General features: G+C 36.3%; 1 protein-coding gene across 4 annotated transcripts in view; it reads right to left on the bottom strand.

Moving 5' to 3' along the window:
* Positions 1-14,236, bottom strand: part of HMCN1 (hemicentin 1) — a 456,559-nt gene that overhangs the window by 45,845 nt on the left and 396,478 nt on the right. For all 4 annotated transcript variants that reach the window (NM_031935.3, XM_011510038.4, XM_017002437.2 and 1 more), the window contains 6 exons: positions 12,696-12,777; positions 8,168-8,437; positions 7,437-7,607; positions 7,133-7,303; positions 762-932; positions 402-572 (listed from right to left, as the gene is read on the bottom strand). In NM_031935.3, coding sequence (NP_114141.2) covers positions 402-572; positions 762-932; positions 7,133-7,303; positions 7,437-7,607; positions 8,168-8,437; positions 12,696-12,777 — 1,036 coding nt within the window. The remainder of the gene's footprint in view (positions 1-401; positions 573-761; positions 933-7,132; positions 7,304-7,436; positions 7,608-8,167; positions 8,438-12,695; positions 12,778-14,236) is intronic.

Genomic DNA, 14,236 nt, shown 5'->3' with positions numbered 1-14,236 from the left:
GGCTGTAAACTTCAGGATACAATGTAACTCAGATTTCCAGATATCAAGTTGCTGCAAGGGTCTAAAAATCCAGGTTGATGACGGCACTAAGGCAGAGAGCTGCCTGCTTGCCTTCATAAAAGAACTGTAAGCATCATGAAGAGTTAGCATGCAGGGGTGCTCTCATTCTTATACTCTGGGGCTAGTCCTATATAGAGCAAGTGAAATAGGACACAGCTCCTGCCCCTATGAATCGAAGACATCTAGGGTATTATACAGACATGACAGCAACCTTACAACATTCTGACATCCTAAACCAAAGGTTGAAGAACCAAATAACGGAATATTGCAACTTTAAGGAATTACAGTCATAATGAAACTTTATGAAAGTATAATGTTGACTCACTATTTCCAACACTCACTTGGGCAAGGGTCACTGTTGCAAAAATCACTCTGGACATCACTCCCTTCGCATTTCCTTCCTCCATACTGGGGCACAGGGTCGGAGCAGCCCCTTGTTCTCTGTCTGGCACCTCCTCCACATGACACAGAACAGGCACTCCAACTGGCCCAAGTCGCCCACTTGCCATGAACTGGAATAAGGGAAAAAGGTACATGCTTTCTTACTACCTAGGAACCATCGTGTTACACTCTGGGCATTGTTAGTTTGAGAGATGTTCTTGTGGGCACAGTTAGAATGGGATAGATTCTTGTTGACATACTACCTAGATAAGATAGGTAGATGTTAATTTATTAAGGTATAAACAGTGTATTTCTCTTACTTGGACAATTTCTTTCATTGCAAACTTGCATCTGTGTTTCTGCTCCATCACAGTAGGACCCACCAAACGCTGGTGGTGGGTTATTACAAAGTCTTGCTCTTGTCTGAGTACCTTTCCCACAACTTTCGCTGCATGTTCCCCAAGGCTGCCAAGCGCTCCATGCTCCATGAACTGCAAACACCCCAAAAGACAGTTGCAAGTCACAGAACCGTGTTTGTTTAAAACCAAAATTATATAAATAAATTAACTCAGTAATGAGCTAATTAGTCCCCAATCTAAGAGAATTGAAACTGAACCAAATGAAACATAACAAATGATGATCTTTCTCCTTCTGGTTAGATTTTCAGAGGAATTTGTGTCTATAGGGAAATTCAGAAGGCTTACCTGATGCCAAGATAAATGTTTAAAATCACCCAAAGGAGCTATTTTATTACAATTAAATTTACTCAAACTACCATATATAAATACAGTCTGAGTGTTTAAGCCCTTAGCTAAGTATTTGTCTGTGTTCTTTGCTCTGGAGAAAGTGAAAATAACTGGGAGCTTGGGAACAAGGCTGTATAACAGATTGAGATGTGGTTATAGACAATACAAATATTTCCACAAAGATAATTTGGACCCTAGACAGCAAGACCACATCCTTAAGCCTGATTCAGCTTCATATCTACATATGTACTTGGATCTTTCAACAACATGATGATTTGCACAGCTGTAATTCTTTGGAAAACTTTTTCCATTACATGTGTTCATGAATTAAAGTTCTGAATAACATACTAACCTGCTTCCTAAACAACATAAAAAGCTGACTAGTAGTTTCCAAGGAGTGATATTAAGGCCTTCCTTTGGGAACTAACACATCACATCATTGGACCACAAGAATGAAACAACCTTATGTTTTACCAGGTACCTGGGCTGAGATTCAACATTATGGCTTTCCTTATATACACGTGAATACCAGGTCATATTTTTGTTTTCAGGGAACTTGCTAGATATGGAGCTCATAAAGTACATCTTTTGGTCACCTGGTTTAATCAAAATATGAGCAGAAATAAGAGCCTCAAAGGCTGAGTGTAAATATTCTCCAGAACAAGTTGAAAACCATGTAATGAAATTATCATTTGTCTGCTTTGGTTAGAAAAATATTTTTAAATGCATGTTACAGTTTCTTATAGTTAATGGGTTTCTGACTGAGTTGACTAATTATCCTTGTGCTTTGTAGACAAAAACATAGTCACACAAATCTATTTTAGCCAACAAGAATTTGCACTAAAAAGTATTTGGCTAAACCTCAGAGGAAAGAAGAAAGGCTTTAAATATATGGCAGATATTCAAAACTACTTCTGTATTAATTCAGGCTGTGGATGCTCATAGCCCTCAAATATTGACTGTATGATTTCAAAAATTCTGAAGTTCCAATTATTTTAATACATTTTATTTTCAAGGCTGTTGGTTAACAAAAGCCTCAGCCTCTTACAATATAATGCCATTTAATATAGATGCATTTTTAATTGGAGGGTTAACAATTGGGTAACATTTATTCATTTCTGTGTCATTTCTACTACATATAAATACAGGTTTTCAGCTAAAGACTTTTTTATTTTTATTTTTTAATCAATATGGAAAATCCTAACTAGAATTGGACTTCAAGATACAAAATGTTGTAGAGTTCAAGTGTTTCTTTTATAAGAATGGAATGATAGCAAGAAAAAAGGGAGAATGATAATATAAACTGGAGTTGGCATAAAACATCATGCTATCTAGATGATGCAAAAAAACAAGAACTAAAAACACAACTACCATTTGACCCTGCAATCCCACTATTGGGTATATGCCCAGAGCAATATAAATTGTTCTACATAAAGACATATGCACCTGTGTGTTCATTAAGCACTATTTACAATAGTAAAGACAGAAGCAACCAAAACACCCAACAACAGTAGACTGGATAAAGAAAATGTGGTACCATACGTGCCATGGAATACTATGCAGCCATAAAAAAGAATGAGGTCCCATCCTTTGCAGGAACAGGGATGGAACTAGAGGCCAGTATCCTTAGCAAACTAACTAACTCAGGAACAGAAAACCAAATACTGCATGTTCTCACTTATAAATGGGAGCTAAATAATGAGAACACATGGACAGAAAGAGGGGAACAACAAACACTGGGGCCTACTTGAGGGAGGAGGGTGGAAGGAGGAAGAGGTTTAGAAAAATAAATTTGGATACTATGCTTAGTATCCAGGTGACAAAATAATCTGTACATCAAACCCCTGAGTCATAAGTTTACCTATATACCAAACCTGAACATATACCTCTGAAACTAAACTAAAATGAAAGTTAAAATATTAAAAAACTACAGAGGGATTAGTAGGTAAGAAACATGCAAAATATTATAACTCAATTTGTTACACTATGTTGCAGTTTTAGTTATGGCAGGGTAGAGGAGCACAATGCTAGGAATGGGTCTCCAGGCAGACACTCTGGGCTTGAATAACTATTCTGCCCTTACAGGCCATGCAATCCTGACAAGTCACTTGGCTGCTGTGTGCCTAGTTTCATCATCTGCAATATGCAAATAATAAAAGATAATTTATTAGAGTTGAGGTGAGCAGTAATGAGTTCATAGAAGAAAAGTGCTAGGAACAGTACAGGACACATAGTAAATCCTACATAAGTGTAAGCTAGGAGCTATGATGGCTTTGCTCAAAGTTCTCAACAGTTTTCAGACAGACACTTGAAAAAATGGTCACTCTTTAATCTGTAGCTATATATGTATTTTAATGACAATGATTCTCAATTGTCAGGACAGGCCATCACCGAAGATATCAATCTTAAAAAAGATTTGCAGTTTAAAAACACTCTTCTAACTAACTGGGGCAGGGAAAGTACAAAATAAGTTTGAAGTAACTATTTGCACCGGAAAGTAAGGAAGTACTCAAAGAATCATGAGGACATCTCAACACTGAAGCCAGCCCAGACAAGCCTGCCTCCACTAACCTATTCTAGGATAATGTGAACATGATGATAAATAATGACAGTGTATGATAAACCAGGGGTCCTCAATCCCATGGGCCACGGATCGCTTGGCAAGCGAGCAAAGCTTCATCTGTATTTACAGCTACTCCCCATTGCTAACATTACCACGAACTCCGTCTCCTGTCAGATCAGCAGTGGCATTAGATTCTCATAGGAGTGCGAACCCTATTGTGAACTGTGCATGCGAGGGATCTATGTTGTGTGCTCCTTATGAGAATCTAATGCCTGATGATCTGTCACTGTCCCCCATCAATGCCAGAAAGGACCTTCTAGTTGCAGGAAAACATGCTCAGGGCTTCCACTGAGTCTACATTATGGTGAGTTATATAATTATTTCATTATATATAAAATCCACAATAAATGTAATGTGCTTGAATCATCCTGAAGCCATCCCCCCAACCCTCGATCTGTAGAAAAATTGTCTTCCACAAAACCAGTCCCTGGTGCCAAAAAGGTTAGGTTCCACTGTGATAAACCATTGAATAATACCTGAGTCCTGATTGATATAAATCACAAAGTAAAGAAATGAGAAAGTTCTTGACAGAGGTCAATAATAGATATGGAAGATAATGATGGAGTTAGAAAATAGCTATTTTGCAAAAATCATAGTAATAACTGATTCAAGCAGAAATCAGAAATGGATGCTAAAACTAGTGGGTGAAAGGTTGATAAGATGTTTATAGAGACTCTAAGTTTCCCTACAAAATACTTATTAATAATAGAAGTAAAAATAGTAACTATACAATGACAGACACTACCTTAAACAAGTGAAGAAAGTTAACACCACCAGTATGGGACAAACTGACATTATGTGCCTTTTGAAATGATGCATGGAGAAGGACACAAAATCATTTCTGTGGTGTTCCTGCCAAAATGCAAAACCTACATGTAATCATGAGGAGATGTTAGACAAATCCAAATTGAATTGTCTTCTCTAAAATACTTGGCCTGTATATTAAAAAATATCAAGTTCATGAAAGAAAAAGAGACTGAGAAAATTTTCCAATTAAAAGAGACCAAAGGGACACAACAAATAAGTACAAGTGTGATCGTGGATCGGATCTTGGAATGGGGGAAAAAGAGTTACAAAGATATTACTGGGACAACTGGCAAAATCCAAACATGGCCTGTGGATTAGATAACCAGATTAGATAATGAAATTAGATAATAGTAGTATCAATGTTAAAATTTCCCAATTTTGATCACTGTACTATGTTCATGAAAGAGAATGTCCTTGTTTCAGGAAATACACAAAATTTCACCTAGATAGTGTTACATAGAAATAATTATCTGTACTCTTCTTGCAACTCTTTTTTAAGTTCAACATTGTTAGAAATGAACTGTACTAAAGCCAAGTATCTTCTGCCCCCGAGATTTTCACATACTTTCTGGATGAGAAAGGCTGTCTTAGGCTGGCTGCCGATTTTGCAGTGGTGAGCTGAGAAATATTTAACAACCAGCTCTCTAGGGGTGAGGAGGAAAACTTGTAGCATCGCTAATTTTTGTGGTATAGATACTCCTACTACAGCTGATATTTACCTACCAATGTGGCATCACTAAATTTTCATACATGCTCTTATTGGGAAGAAATACATGCTTTCATTGAATGGCTCTAGGACACCACCGACATTATGCTCAAACAATAGCTAAATTCATTTGGTTTAGGGACTGGGGGAAATAACTAGAGAAAGCCTTTAAAAAAAAAAAAAACAAGCCAATAGAATAGTGAACAAAACAACAGTAAGTAACCAAACAGACAGTAGTAGGCGAATAGTTACTCAACATGAAAAGAAAAAACTGGCTTTTATTTTAGGATATTTACAAATATCATTTAGTTATTATATAGTTATTATAGATGACAAATTACACAAAATTGCTCAATCAAGTATTTCCTGCTCTTTTAAATTTAGAACATAATGTTATTACAACCAGCTTTCAAATTCTTTAAGACTAAAATAAATGGCTTCTCGTTTATTTTAAGACGTCAGGACAGTACTTAGTTTTTGTAATGTAATCAAAGTTCCGAATTGCAAATCCAGATACCTACGATTTAAATAAGCTTCATAATTAGATCAACCTGAGTTCAAAACTTTGATTCATTTTTTATTAGCTGTCTATCCTTAGTGAATTACTGCACATTATTTTCTAAATCTTTCCTCATCTGCACAATAGGATGCAATACCCAATGTAGTGAATACCTGTCCCTTTTTGGTTTGTCCATTATTTCTTTTTCTGATCATTCCAGCTAAGATATCTCTCCAAGTTGTACTCCATCATTTCAAGTCTCTGAGTTTTTTGGGTATGTTGATAAATACTGGAAAGATATTGTTTATTATTTTAACTCTAGCAACTAGAACAGTGTCTTGATGACAAAGTAAGTGCTCAGTAAATATTTGTTGGATGAATGAATGAATAAATGAACAGCTCCTCCACTTTGCATGATTTCTTTCTCAACACTCTTTACACTAGGTAGACAGTTCACCCAAGATGGCTATTAAAATACCCTTCTCCTGGACTCACTTGAGTTCAGGGGTAAACATGTGACCTGAACAAAAGCAAACAGGGTTCCTTTCCAGAGACTGATACGAATTCTGAGAGACAAGGGAACTCTTTTTCTCTGAGGCCTCACTTAGATTATAAGGCCCCTGTGAGCCAGTAGCTGTCAGCAGCCATTGTTTCCACCACATGGAAAGAGTTTAATAGAGAATAAAGCCAAAGAGAGGAAAGTAGAGATGAGAGATGGAAAACATGCTAGTAAAAGCACTGTCCAAATCCTTGGATTCAATTATACCTGAAAATTTTCTACTTGGACTTGTTTGATTTGTCACTTTAATTGGAAAGAGTGCTAAAACACAAAATCAATAACAATACACAATATTAACAATATAAAGCACCTAGCATGGTTCCTATTATGTGGCAAGTATTTAGTGAATGACAGCGATTCGTATTTACTCCTCACCAGTTGTGTGTTTCTGGGCAAGTCTTTAACCTCTCTAGGGTTCATTTTTCTCACCTCGAAATGGATGGCTGGATTAGATGTTACTTTATGACCTTGTAAATACTTATGTTTTCTTTACGTGATTGAGAAATACACTCCAGTTTGGACCCTTTCTTCAAGTTCAATTAAAGCAGGTATTTTGCTTAACATCAATGAATGCCATACCTTTACAAGTTTATCCATGAAAGAGAACTAAGAATATAGTGAATGAACATATTCTCAAGGGTAGAGGCCATAACATCTTTTTACAATGAAGAAGAAAAGGCAAATGTAATTCTTTCATAGGGGTTAAGATAGAAAAGTTTTGTTTATCTTAGCATTATTGGTGGTTTCTCACCTGGGCAAGGCCTAATGTTGCACATAATTATTTCCACAGCATTCCCTTCACATGGCCGCCCACCATGCTGAACTGATGGATTATTGCAAGTCCTGGTCCTGGTTTGGTTGCCGCGTCCACAGCTCCTTGTGCATTCTTCCCAAAGACTCCATTCCGACCAGCTACCATCCACTATACAAAGGTGAACCATTACACCATCAGGTATATTTCAATTGGGAATACTTACACTGGGGCAATCCATAGGTAGAAGACAGAAATGAAGGTCTATTAAACACATGCCTATCAGTTAAATAAGGAGGTGTACCTGGACAAGGCTTATTTTGACAGTTTCGCATTTCCAAATCTGAACCTTGGCAGGGCTTCCCACCATTGGCTGGAAGGGGCTGGTTGCACAGACGACTCCTCTTTTGGATGCCTTTTCCACAGGTGACACTGCAGGCTCTCCATGCAGACCACTGGGAAAATCCACCATGAACTGCAAATAAAACATTGTACTTTGTCTAAGCTTTTGCAAATAAAACATTGTAAAGGAGATTTCATTTAAGATATGCACGGGTTACAGAGCTAAATATATAGTTGCTGAGAAATAGCGTATGGAAGCTCTCCTTTAAGGAAAATTAAAATCCAAGAGAGAGAGAAGAACTTCAGTTAGCCAAAGTTTCTTCTCAGATCGAATCCTCACTCACTTGCACATGGCTGCTGGAAGAGTTAGAGACCAACAAGTTTACAAACTGTTCACCTTTTGGACATAAGTCATTCTTTGCAGCAAAACATATACATTGATTTCTAAGAATAGATTTAGTTGTGAATCAAAAATCTAGTTTGGGATTTTAAATTAAAACCTTGGCATTTTAAAGCTCTAATCTGTGTTGGTTTAGGCCCTTCAATCTGTAAATTTTGATGATTTTGTCCTCTCCCCATCATCTAAAAGTATGTTAAGGTGACAGGAGACTTGGACTAAAGTGCTTAATAATTTCCATGATTTGAGTCACCCCAGGTACTGTTTACTATGAATATTCCTCTGATCACACTCACCCTGGACTATGACTGGCACTCTGACAAGGACAGAACCCATTAAGTTTCGAGCAACACATTCAAATTCAGAGGTATCTTCTTTCTGAGCATCAGCAATATATAATGAGTTGTTGGACAACACGTTAACCCGGTCATCCCAGGAAATAGAGTGCCCTTGACGGGACCATGTAATGGTTGGTTGAGGCTCTCCAGTTGCCTGACAATTCAATATGATTTTGCCACCAGCATTAATAACAGTTTCCACTGGCTCAAGAGTGATAATAGGAGGACCTACGGAAAAAAGCACATAGTGTCTCAGTTTTTGTGGAGTTACAGCATTTTTTTTTATCATGTATTATATGGCGACATTATTTTGAAAAAAGTGATTGATTTGTTTATAAAACACTGTTGCTTCCCAACTAAGATTATAGATTATAATTGCCATTAATACAATTTTCATAATTCTTTTTTATTTAGTAAATGTCAAAAATTTAAAATTCCTGAGATTAGCCTAGAGCATGGGCTCTAGAGTCATGTTTCCTGGATTCAAATTCTGTGTCTGCTCCTTACTACCTCTCTGAGCCCCATGTCCTTAAAAATGGTGCCTACTTCAGAGGATTCCTGTTAGACTCAACAAGAGGATGTGACTACAACTTTTGAACAAGGTAAGCACACAGTGCTCTTAGTTACTATTATTTTTGTCTGTGTTTTATATGGTGAATATTCACTTTTTTCTTTTGATCATTTTTGAGGTAAAGAGTCATTAACTCATTCTTTTTTTTTGAGCCAGAGTCTCCCTTTGTCACCCAGGCTGGAGTGCAATGGCACAATCTCGGCTCACTGCAACATCTCCCTCCAGGGTTCAAGCAATTCTCCGGCCTCAGCCTCCTGAGTAGCTGGGATTACAGGCACCCGCCACCACGCCTGGCTAATTAACTCATTCTTTTACCACTGGCCATCATTTATTCAATAAACATGTACTGAAAGCCTGCTATTTGCCAGGCATTGTGGTGGATGCTGAGAGCATATAGAGAAAAGATATTCTTTCTAGTCTCAAGGAGCTCACAGTCCACTGATAAGACAGACTTGTGCTATAGCATACCTATGGAACTAACGTGTACTAATATGGGAGCATAAACCATAGAAATAATAGATCAAACAAAAGCATGCCACTGGAAATGGAGGGGAAAAGGAAGACATATCCAAGAATTATTAAGAAAGTAGAAATGATAGAACTTTGTTACGGATTGGTATGGGTTAAAGGGAAGAACTCATGACTGCAGGGTTTTGATTTGGACAATATGGTATATTTGGGCAATGCAATAGCACACAACAGGAAGAACAGATTTGTGGATAGGGAGTAAGGAATGATAATTTGCATCCATTTAGAACTGCTGAACTTGAGGTATCTCTAAGACATTCATATAGCGATGTCTACATGACAGGGATATTCATATCTAGAGCTCAGAATAAAGATGAGCAAGAAATATATATGTGTGAGTCTTTCATAGTGAATAAGATTGCTTCAGAAGAGAGTCTAAAATGAGAAGACGGCCAAAGACAGAAACCATTGCAACAGCATTATTTAAGAGATGGACAGAAGACAAGCTTATAAAGATACTCAGAACGAATCACTGAGGTAGGAAGAAAATCAGGATAAAAATGGTATTCTGGTAACCAAAAAGGAAGGAGGGAGATATTAACAGTGTCTATAGTGAATGACAATGGCTGAAGTAAAGTCCTTGGAAAGATTGTAAAAGGAACTGCATGCAACTGCTGGCAGAATGTTTACGTCTATATTGGTCTACAGTGCCAAGACAGATGACAGAATATGACAGACTTCATTGGGAAAAAGAGAGTTGAACTGGATTTTCAAAAATAAGTAAGGTTATTTGAACAGAGAGGAGAGGGGAGAACACTTGGAGAGAAAGACACAACATGGAGATGGAGTTAGCTCTTTTTCTTTTTCAAGACAATGAACAGAATAGAAAGGAAGGTTCACCCTGAAGAGTAACAGCATACAGGGTTGTGAACATTGGTTCAAATCCTAAAATAAGAAAGGTTTTCATTTAAATAAGAAAGCAAACGGGGCAGCATATACATTCTTGAGAAGGAGCATGATGGGATGAGAGCAGTGTTTTAGTGACATTGAACTGAAAGGCAGAATGATTTGTTCAGTGAGAGGTAATAGATAATTCAAGGTTGTGGCTGCATATTTTAGACTGAGAAGTGTATCTAGAATAAATAGAATACAAATAAGACAAAAATAGAACAAAAATGTGTTTTGTTGTGATATTAATATGTTAGTTTTTTTCTGCAAAGGTATCCGTGACATGTTGTCTTTTAAAAAAGTAATTCCTTCATGTGAGGTTTGACTCTCTTAGCAAATGTCATATAAAGCATTACTCTGACTTATGCTCATCACCCTACACAATGCCTTCTAACTGATGTTTATATTAACCTCACTCTAGAAACTTTCAGGGCCAGTGCTTTTATTTCTCTCCTAGTTTCCTGATTACATTATGTATTCAATAAACTGTTGCTGCATAAAGTAAATACCTCAGGTTTATCCCTCAACACTAAGTGACAACATGACTAAATAAGCTTGTCTGCTCGTATTAAAATGGCTAAATTATCAAATAAACTCAGAACCTTAATTTAGATACCATCCTTGAACATTCCCAATTGCATATGAAGCTATAAATTAATACAATAAAATTCCATATGTACATACTTCAATTGAATTAATTTCATCATTCACATAATAAATATGAACACTTTAAATAAAAATATCGCTTCTGGTACTTTAATCCTAATTTGAACCAAATTATATTTTTGACTATTTAATATGCCTCACTTACTAAAATGAATTTATTGTCAATATGTGCAGATGAGCTGCTCTAATGTAGCTTTTTTTAAACTGGGTCAGTGGATTGTGTAGTGTTCTACCTACGTTCACTCAACATTTATTTGGAAAATGTGGCATATTATATTCTCTCCTTGTTGAGCCATAATTCACACCAACATATTAACATTTCTGGAAAATCTGCAGTAAAGAAATTTGGTATGCCTAAGGAGGGCTGAGCACATAGTAACTGTTCTTTATATATTTAATAAATAAAAGAACTCTGTTTAATTCATTTTTTCTCAGGTTTGTTTGAACATAGAACCCTATTTTTTCCTAATGACATCCCATGTTATCATTTGATAGATATGTTCTTTAGTGAAACATTGTATTAGATACTTATTAAATGTCTATCCATCTATTCGAGTCTTACAGAATTATATAGTTTGGCAAACAGCTAACTAATCTAGAGCATCTCTCAATAGTGATGAAGAAAATGTAAATTCACCCTGTTAAATACTGAGCCTAGTCACAAAATGACTTGACTTGCTTAAATTCTCAACCCAGTGACATTGTCTTTGGGTCAGCCCCTTAAGTGGTTCTGTAAACTCTCCAGTGGGCCATTGGATTATTTTATGTTTATCCAATTATGGATGCTCTGTTTTCCGATGACTCTTACTGAAGGGCTTCCTGATGAGCATGAGAATCTCACCCAGAACGTTTAGTTATTTCATGAAAGATGACAGCCATCAAGCTGGAGCACTTTTGAGCTCCTTTACATTAGTCTTTATTTTTAATAAATATCTTAAAGTGCCATAAATGGCAATCTTTTTAAGCATGTTGGAATAACTGTGGTGAATTGTAAGAAGGGGCACTCCATTGAATATGCTGTAATTAAAAAGCTCTGCCACCTTTATAGCAGCATGATTTATAATCTTTTGGGTATATACCCAGTAATGGGATTGCTGGGTTAAATGGTATTTCTAGTTCTAGATCCCCAGGAGTCACCACACTGACTTCCACAATGGTTGAACTAGTATTCAAAACTTGGAACCAACCCAAATGTCCAACAATGATAGACTGGATTAAGAAAACGTGGCACATATACACCATGGAATACTATGCAGCTATAAAAAACGATGAGTTCATGTCCTTTGTAGGGACATGGATGAAGCTGGAAACCATCATTCTCAGCAAACTATCGCAAGGAGGAAAACCCAAACACCGCATGTTCTCACTCATAGGTGGGAACTGAACAATGAGAACATGGACACAGGAAGGGGAACATCACACACCAGGGCCTGTTGTGGGGGGTGGGGGGAGGTATAGCATTTGGAGATATACCTAATGTTAAATGACGAGTTAATGGGTGCAGCACACCAACATGGCACATGTATACATATGTAACTAACCTGCACGTTGTGCACATGTACCCTAAAACTTAAAGTATAATAAAAAAAAAAGCTCTGCCACCAATCAATTGCAATCTTATACTATATACGTTAGATAAAATAGAGAAAAATATCTGTGTGTTATCAGATTTATGTTTGATGACAACTGCTCCATCAGCAGCAGAAAACTAAATTAGACACACTCTGAGAGCTACCACTAATGAACTTGCTATAGAGTTAAAGAAAATAAATACTCTTTATTAGGTAATATTTCCTAAATCAAGTGTTTAATTAGTTTCATTAAGCAGCTTACTTTGCAGAGTCAGACTCATGCTGCGCTCCACCACCCCAGCTTCATTGGTAGCTACACATGTATAGTCACCGGCATCTTCATTCTATGGAAATAAGCAGCGTTTTTACAAAAATATGAGCCTACAGAGCAGGGCAATCACTTTTTTCACCATGATGCTAGTTTATTTGAAATTTCATTTTTGAGAAGGAATTTTAATGGAAATAAGAAAACCTACATATGTCTAACCTCTTAAATAGATTTAAAGGAGGGAGGAGGAGGAAGAGAAAGAGGAGGGGGAAGGGAGAAAACAAATTCCAAGCCTAAACTTTCTCAAAATAGCCTATCATTGATCTCCAGGAATACTAACTGGTAAGAAACCAAAGCAAAAATTACATTATTTTATGATCATCTATCTGGAATTATCTTACTAAAGAAAAATACTAATGCTATACTTATAGATATCTTAAAAAGCATTAAAATAATCAGGACAAATTAACAAATACTGAGTCCTTTCTAATGGGGATTATTAAAACTACATTCAGCTGGACCTTTGTCTAGAGCGTTTGAAATTTAGGAGAGAAAGTGAAAAACTAATTTACTTATAATAATAAATCACAGATTGTAGGTCACATTATATACATATATGTATGTGTCTGTGTGTGTAAATTTATGTAGGACTGCACTAAATAAATTTCAATTTGGTGACTAGAGGCACAGATTTCGCTGAAGGTCTTGTGAATGGAAGAATTCAGGTCTCCTTAACAAACAGTAAGTCAATAAAAGGGAACTGATTTGCAGGTAGTAGATTGGGAGAAGGAAAAATAAATGTTGGTTTAGATGTTTAATTTGAGGTTTCAGTGTATTATCCAAATGGAAGTTCCTAGTCAACAGCTGGAAATGGAAGAGTTTCAGCATTGGAGATACTACAGTTTTAGGAATTTTAAATTGCATGATGAAAAAAATTAGTATTAACATTGGTATTAGAAGTACCAAGGACTTCAGAAATAGTAATAGAGGAAAAGGGAAAAGTGGTAATGAAGAAGGCTGAGCCATATTAGTATTATGGCACATAAAGTAGAAATAATTTCATAACAGAAGGAACAATCAACAAATGACATCTAATGTTGAAGTAAAATCAATGAGACTAAAAGACTAAGACTGGTCCACTGGATTGGGTAATTAGATAGTATATTTTAATTATTTCAATTACTTAAACAATGACAGCACATAAGTGGTCTCACCAAATGTGATTTAACAAATTAATGTGTATTCTAGTTGAGACATTTTTGGATAAAATATTTCACTTTGGGGTAATTTGACCCCAAAACTAGAATAATAAACCAAAGCACCACTTATTTTCTGAATTACTGAACTTTGGAAAAGCCTAATATAGTTATCAGCTTACTATGAAATCTACTCTATAATTTATATGTAACTGTGTTTGTAATTCTTCAATTTCCTTGTCCTAAAACAGATCTGAGGAAGTTATCTCCAAATGTTAATTAGTAAGTCAATGATAAGGAACAAGGCAGCCACATTATCTCACTGCACTTATTTGAAAG

The sequence above is a fragment of the Homo sapiens genome, chromosome 1 (assembly GCF_000001405.40).
Source record: "Homo sapiens chromosome 1, GRCh38.p14 Primary Assembly".
Lineage (NCBI taxonomy): Eukaryota > Metazoa > Chordata > Mammalia > Primates > Hominidae > Homo > Homo sapiens.
The sequence above is the reverse complement of the archived record's forward strand: the minus strand, read 5'-3'. Positions and strand labels throughout refer to the sequence as shown.